An 8,542-nucleotide genomic window follows, 5' to 3' on the forward strand; every position below is an offset into this window, starting at 1 on the left:
TTATGAAATAAAAATACAGCTACCGTCATACTTAATAGTTAAAGACTGAAATATTTCCCCCAAAATCAAGAACAAGACAAGGATGTTGGCTTTCCCCGCTGCTGTTTAAAATTGCACTAAAAGTTCTAGCCAAAATAATTAGACAAGAAAAGAAATAAATGGCATCCAAATTGGATAGGAATAATTAAAACAACTTCTATTCGCAGATGACATAAACCTAGATGGAGAAAATTCCAAGACTCCACAAGAAAGCCAGTAGGGCTAATAAAATAAACTCAGCAAAGTTGCAGATTACAAGGGCAGCACACAAAAATGAGTCGCATTACCATACACTAACAATGAATAATCCAGAAGGGAAATACAGACAGTAATTCCATTTATAATGGCATCTAAAAGAATCAAATATGCAGGAATAAATTTGGCTAAGGGAGTAAAAGATTTCTACACTGAAAACTACAAAACATTACTGAAAGAAATTAAAGAAGTCCTAAAAAAATGGAAATAGATCCTATGTTCATGGAATGGAAATCTAATATTGTTAAGATGTCATTACTACTCAAAGTGATCTGTGGATTCAATGTAATACCTAGTAAAATCTCAACAGCTTTTTTTGTCAGAAATGGAAAAGTCAGTCCTCAAATTCATATGACATTGTAAAAGGCCCTGAATGCCCAAAATAATCCTCAAAAAGAAGAATCAGTTTGGAAGATTCACACTTCCCAATTACAAAACTCATTATAAAGCTACAATAATCAAAACAGTGTGGTAGTGGCAAGAAGATAGACATATTAACTAATGAAGTAGAATTAAGAGTTCAGAGATAGACCTACACATCTATCGCCAATTGAATTTTGACAAGGTTTCTGGGTCCATTTGATGGGGAAAGAATAGTCTCTTCAACAGATGGTGCTAGGACAGCTGGATTTCCACAGGCAGAGGAGAATGCAATTGTACACTGCATTCTCATATCATATGCAAAAATCTCATAAGATATGCAAAAATTAACTTAAAATGGATAAACAACCTAAATTTGGGAGCTAAAACTATACAAGGTTTAGAAGAAATCATATGGGCACATCTTCATGATCTCAGTTTTGGTAATAGAGTCTTAGATATGACACCAAAAGCATGAACAACTAAAGAAAAAATAGATAAATTGAATTTCCTCAAAGTTAAAAACTTTTGTGCATCAAAGGATACTACCAAGAAAGTGAAAAGGCAACCTAAAAATGGGAGAAACTATGCTCAAATTTTTATATTTAAGAAGGATTTAATAGTCAGAAGATATAAAGAACACTTACAATTCAACAACAAGAAGAACGACTATCCAATTAAAAAGTGGGCAAAAGACTTGAATAGACATTTCTTCAAAGAAGATATAAAAATGGCCAGTAAGCACATCAAAAGTTGTTCAACATCATTAGTCATTAGGAAAATCAATATCAAAATCAATGGCCTAGATACCATTACACATCTACTAGAATGGCTATAATTTTTAAAAAGTGAAATATAACAAGTGTTGATGAGGTAGTGGAGAAATTGGAACCCTTATACATTGTTGTTAGGGATGTAAAATGATGCATCTGTTATCCAAAACAGGTTGGTGGTTCCTCAAAGTTAATCACAGAATTACCATATGACCCAGCAATTTGACTTCTAGCTACATACCCAAAAGAATGAAAAACAGGCATTCAAACAGATATTTATACACCAGTGTTCATTGCAGCATGATTCACAAGCCAAAAGGTAGAAACAACCCAAGAGTCTATCAACAGATGATTGTATAAACAAAAAATGGTATATCCACAATAGTGGAATATTATTTAGCCATAAAAAGAATGAATTTCTGGTACATGCTACAACATGGACAAATTATGAAAACATTATTCCAAGTGAAATAAGCCAGAAACAAAAAGACAAATATTGTATGATTGTACTTAAATGAAATATCTCTAACAGGCAAATTCATAGAGAGAAAAAGGAGAGATTACCACAGCCTGAAGATATTATTGCTTCATAGGTACAGAGTTTCTGTTTGGGCTGATGAAAAAGTTTTAGAAATAGATAGTGGTGAAGATAATGCAACATTAGGAATATAATTAATACCATTGAATTTAAAAATGATCAAAATGAATGGAAATTATTATGTTATATATTTACTGTGATTAAAAAAAAAAAACTGAGAAAAAATATATTGGATTTGGGGGCAGAAGGCAGAAGTAAAAGAAGTATATGACCTGGAAGAGCCAAGTGTATGCTTCGTGGGGATATGGAAAGAGATGGATGGCCCAGTCAGGCTGAGGTCAAATTGTGAATAAGTCTAAGAGCCCTGCTAGAGAATCTGGACTTCTAGAGGGTGCAATGCATTTAACTGTTGTTGTGTTGTTGCTTTTATTTTAGCTTGGAGAACTGGTTGACTTGTAGAGGAGTAACAGGCCTAGAGATCACCACACGGCAGTTACAAAAGCACAGATAAGAAACCTCAAGAGCCTAATGTATGGCAGTGGTGACGGGGCAGAGGGAAAGGAGGGCTGTGAGAGGGTAGCAGAGGCTGAATCCTTATGGTTTGTGGCACAAGAGAAGGATGAGGAAGGGCAAGGAGTTGAGGATGACTCTACATGATTCCAGTCCACTGCCTTGCTCTTACTTCAACATGCCTGTGGCTTAGAGAGATTGGGTGGCTGGAACAACCACAAATGGCTAATGAGACGCAGAACTAAGGATCAAATCCAGGTTTCCCGACTCTCAGCGTCTTTTGCTCTTACAGAGTCTTGTAATTAAAGTTTTAATTTTATTTTAAACCCCTGCATACAATTCAATCAGTTTGGGGCTGTGGAGGTCCTTTGGTTTTCTGCCTGACCTTATTTTTCTGTTTCTGACTCCTCCAAGCCACTGCATTCCATGGGGCCACTTGCTTGGGGAAGGGGATTGTTCCCAGCTCAGCTGCAGCTCTAAAATGTCTCCTTTTCCCTTGACCGTTTGTTATCTTGCTTGTGGACTTCCTATTTCCCCTATCCAGAAGAGAAGAGTGAGCTTAGCTGGGTCCAGGAAAAGTATGTAGATGGTTGTAAATTAATTTCCATGGTTTCATCATTATTAATCTTGTCTGGGTACATGATTAGAGGCCAATGACATACTAATTAGTCACTGTAATTAGCAAATGTCAGAGAGGGTCCAGGGGCTCCATGGGTTAGACACAAGGGGTTGCCTTTGATAGTGGGGTCATTCAAGGCCAGCCTGCCTCCTGTCACATCCATCTTTATTTGGCTCATTATCCTACCCAAGACATATTGTATATGTCTTATAAGTTTGCCTCCTTCTCAATGTAAAGAATTTCCTTATGTTTATTATTTGTAAATGAAAACATCAAATAATTTGATAGGGGATGAGTTAAATAGTGGAAAAGAAAATAGTAAGAGGGCAGAGCTTGTAGGGAGTCCAGAAGGCAGGAAAATTGAATCCATATCTCAGCCATGCCCAGGCTGGTGTGCAGCCTCAGGCAATTCACATCACGTGCCCATCAAAGCAAGGCCTGTTTGCTGGATCTGGAAGTGGGAAAGTGAGCTTCTCTCCAGCGGTTGCTACTTGCTGCCATCTGAGCCATCATTGTCTCACAGACCCGGCAAGATTACCCAGTACAGCCCCATCTAAAGCAATTGTATACTTTCCAGTGAAGCTAATTCATTAAATATACAAGTCATTGTGACTTCATTTTTATTCCCCTGCAAGAATTTTTCTTGCAAATAAATATCCAACACAGAAAAATAAAATTGCCAAACTATGCGCCCTGTTTTGTGTGTTTAGGAAAGAAATCCACCGATCATTATAGTTAGATTCTCCTTGACAGTAGTGCATGAGAGGTGGAAATAGGTGAACTCCAGGCCTGCCGCGACCATCAACTCCAGGGAACCCCTCCTTCATGTAGATGCTTCTTCTGCAAAGAGGCCGTGCTAAGCCCGCTGATTATAACTTTCCTGCAACACCAAATCCAGCACTGCAAAAGAATCTAGAAAAATCTAGCAGCCTGACAGCCTTGCATTATGTCTTAAAACACCAAAATGAACTCTCTTGAACTATGACTGTCTCCTCAGCATTTTTTTGCCATGTTCATGCAAGCATACCGAGACCCACTTTCAATGGTGGCCAGGAAAGAGAACATTCCCCTTCCCTCTTTAAATAGTTCTCCCAACCCGTCTGGTCTTGAGTACCTCCCTCATACACGGCCATGCTATTTCAAGAACACTGTTCCAGAGGGAAGAATACCCAATGATTATCAGTCACATGCCCGTAGCCACTAGCCAGTGGGTGATGCCTTCCTCATTGGGATAAAGCCAATGCTTTACTCAGAGATTTTTTTCTCATCAGTGCATCGTGTGATGAAAACATCAGGAATATCCATGCTTGGGTCTTCATGTATTATCACTGGTCCCATTACCCTAGCTGTCATCTCATATTGCTGACAGTAGTTGCTTTTTAAGTGATACTTCCCTTTTCTTCTCTATAATGAACCTACCAAATCATGATAGTCTGGCTTGTTTGATGACAGTGGATAGATTCCTGCAGCACAAACCATTGGCCTACAGCGTACTTACAGGGCCAGTGGTGACGAGTTTGCTACTCCAGGCAGGATTCTCACCTTCGCTCCATTCTACTTTCACCCCTTTGCCAGTCAAATCCTCTCACCAGCCCCCAGGTCCTTGATTAAATAAGGCTTTTTTGTTTTTGTTTTTGTTTTTTGAGATGGAGTTTTGCCCTTGTCGCCCAGGCTGGAGTGTAGTGGCACAGTCTTGGCTTACTGCAACTTCTGCCTCCTGGGTTCAACCAATTCTCCTGCCTCAGCCTTCCGAGTAGCCGGGATTACAAGCACACACCACCACATGTGGCTAATTTTTGTGTTTTTAGTAGAGACAGGATTTCACCATGTTGTTCAGCTAGTCTCAAATTCCTGACCTCAGGTGATCCATCCACCTTGGCCTCCCAAAGTGCTGGGATTACAGGCATGAGCCACCACACCTGGCCTAAATAAGGCTTTTCTGGCATAATCTTTAGGTTCAAACTTCAATTTCAGGCTAAAACTAACAGGTCACATTCTAAGCCTCAGGTTGATGCCAATTTCCCAGACCCAGAAATCTTCCTCCACATGCCTTTCCCTAGGATTAGAAACCAGTTCAACCCTTCATTCTACCACTCTCACACCTTTGGTTATATCTTCTCATTGCTCCTGTCAGCAATGTAATAAAGTTCCTTCTTGTCTATCATGACATCTTTGCCTTGAATTATAATATGTCAGATACTAAGATTGCTAGCCAGCTTTCTTTTTGTTTATATTTACCTGGAATATCTTTTTCTACCTATCCTTTTTTTTCATCCCTCTTGTAGCATTGCAGTGTGTCTCTTGTAGACAGCATATTGTTGATCTTTTAAATTCCAGTATGAGAATGTGTTTTTTTTTAATTGTGGTAAAATGCATAACATTCTTTATATCTAATATTTTCCCTTGGTTCCTTTTTATGATTCTGCTTTGTAGTGCATTTTGCTAATATTTTCCTTTATCTATTGGATCTTTATTTTGCTTATGTTAAATTCCTGGCCAATCTGTTACTAGTAATTCTGCTTTAGTTGATAGGCCCAATTCGGCTTGCTGTCTTTCCTTTTCATTGGTTGTGTTCTCAGCTGTTTTATTGTTGTAGCCTGCAAGCTCATTTTCTTATGGGGATTTCAGCTGCTTAGTTTTTCTAGTAATGGATACTTGTGAAGTGTCAAAGGCCAGGCTGTATTGTGTGTTCCACTCAGCCCATGCTTACTGCCATCTCTTCTCCCCATCTGGGCTTTGGCGCTGTCCTGAAAGAATCACAGATTAATTGGGACAGGCGATGAGGACTTAGGCAATATGCAATGTAGGCAAGAGCAGATATTAAGACATTCCCCACTCTCCTCTATTCCCCATCCCAGGCTTCAACCACTGCCTCCACATACAACACACACAAACACACACATGCATGCATGGATACACACACATGCACACACATAAACGCATGTACACACACACAAACACCTGCACACATTGCACACATGTTCACACACATATACACACCAGTTCCCCACAGCCTCTCATATCCTTGGGAACTTTCCCTAGTTCTTGTATGATCATTATTCCTCCAATTCACGTGTCACCGTAAAATGTTAGTTTACCATCTTCATAGGAATATCCAGTGGTTTCTTGAGCCTGAAGGCTACTTAGCATTGACTGGGAGACAATCACATTTTTGAGAACTTTATATCCCTGAATGGAAATCTTTAGAGATTGTCCATGTGAATGTGCAGCTTGGATGCTAGTTGTATTGGTGTCAAAACACAAAACACAGACGCTCATGTGGACTCTTATGTGTGAAGTTCTCAAAGGCCAGGATGTCTCCTTTTTTTTTTTTTCATTTATAAGGTACATTCCTGGATGACCTTACATGGTCCTCACATTAACCTTCTGAGATAAGCAAGACCAGAAATATAGTCCTCCTCTTATTTGAAAGGTAACTGAAGCCAAAAGAAATAGAGATATTGAATGAAGGTTATATAAGCACAGCCGGTTTGTGGTCTTTGCACTGATTTACAGCCACTGTGGATGATAATTAAAGAGGCCACTTCTAGCTTAGGAAGTTAATTTACCGGTACCAGCCATGTGGGAGGGGCCTCATAAAAGCTGCACAGGTGCTCCCCACCTGCCTCAGAGCATAAGTCTAGATCAAGAAAGAATTATCCAACATCACCACAAAAGTCTGGGTTTTGCAAATGTCTTACTGATTATCATCTTATTAAATAGTTCTCCAGTTAGCAGGAGATTGATGATCTACAGACTGGTGGTTTGGATGATGGAGAAAGGAGGTGTGTCAGGACTGTTGAGAGTGAAAGACCCTCTTTTCCTCTTTTCCATAAATGACAGCACCATTATCCCAGTTGCTCAGGCCAAAACCTTTGGATCATCCTTGAGTCTTCTCTTTTTGCCATACCCTAGTGTAATGGACACAATCCATCAGCAAACTCTGTCAGTTCTACCTTCTGCAAATATCCAGCATCTGACTCCCCCTGATGCCCCAACCAACCTGGCCCAAGCACTTCCCCTGGATTTTGTAATTGGCTCTATTCCTGTATTATCATCTCTTATCAACACAGCAATCAGAGAGATCATTTTAAAACAGAAGTCAGATTGTGTCATTAGCCAGATAAAAACTTGCCAGTGGCTTCCTATCTCATGCAGAACAAGAAGCCAAATTGCTAACCAGAGGCTATAAAGCTCTACCTGCCCCCACCCCCGTCACTAAGTTCTCTAATCTGTCTGCCACCTTCTCCCTCATGTGCTCCACTGCAGACACTGACCCCAGTGCTAAACCTCACACATGCCTGCAGCCACCTACAGTTCTCACCTGTTGTTCAGCCTGCTGGACACATTCTTCCCCAGACATCTGAGTGGCTTGCTCCTTCCCTTCCTCTAGGTAAGTGCCTACCCAGATATCACCTTATTAGACAGGCCTTCAGTGACCACCCTAAAAAATTAGCAGTACCCCTCCACTCCCTATCTTCCTTACTCTGATTTATTTTTGCCATAACTGTATCATATATCATCTGATATATTTACTATTTATGCTTATTATCTGTCTTCCCATACTAAAATCTAAGCTCTAAGAAGGCAAAGGGTTTTTGAAATTTTTGTTCCCTGCTATATCCCAGTCTCTGGAAGTGTGTCTATCACATATTAGTCACCCAATAAATAGTTGTTGAATGAATGGAGGCATAAATAAATGAAATTCTGAGAGGGTACAATCTAGAAACAGGTTTTGTAGCTACCTTGAATGTCATTGCCTTGCATGCTACACTAAATCATAGCCTAACATTGATCCTGTACAGAAGGACGACAGGGAAGGGGAAAGAAGCCAGAACCAGCACAAGAGAATTACAAAGGGCACAACCTCTACACATTTGCAAACAGATGTAATCCCTCTCCTAATTCCTTTATACCTTTTCTCAAGTTTGACTCAAAATGCCCTCATTTTTATTCCATTCTTTGGTTTTATCCCCTTTGTCACTATCTGAGCAATTCAGCTCTAGTGCACACTCTAACCCAACCAGAAGATCTTATGAATCTTTAGACCCTAGAAGTTTCTGAATCCATGGACAACTTTCCACCTCAGAAAGCCTGACAGTCACCAAGTTAACAGCACAGTCTCCTTTTGAATTGTTTATTAAGCAGACTCTATGTTCACCCTCCCAGGGAAAGGATATGCCAAGTGCCAGAAATATCAGCCATTTGCCACGCTATCCAGAAAAGCAGGCAATGGCTGATAGCTTTCCTAGGAAAAAGATAATAGAAAATCAGTATCAATTTCTCATAGACTGCAATGGGTATATTAGCAGGAAAAAAATGGGACAAACAAATGAATGACAGCATCAAATGCAAATCGCTTCGTCCACATGAAATGTGGGTCTCCACTTCCACAAGCATGGACTGTGCCCACCAGGATCACAGGAAGCAACTTCACTTCAGTGTAAC

This window comes from Homo sapiens, chromosome 8, assembly GCF_000001405.40.
Source record: "Homo sapiens chromosome 8, GRCh38.p14 Primary Assembly".
Lineage (NCBI taxonomy): Eukaryota > Metazoa > Chordata > Mammalia > Primates > Hominidae > Homo > Homo sapiens.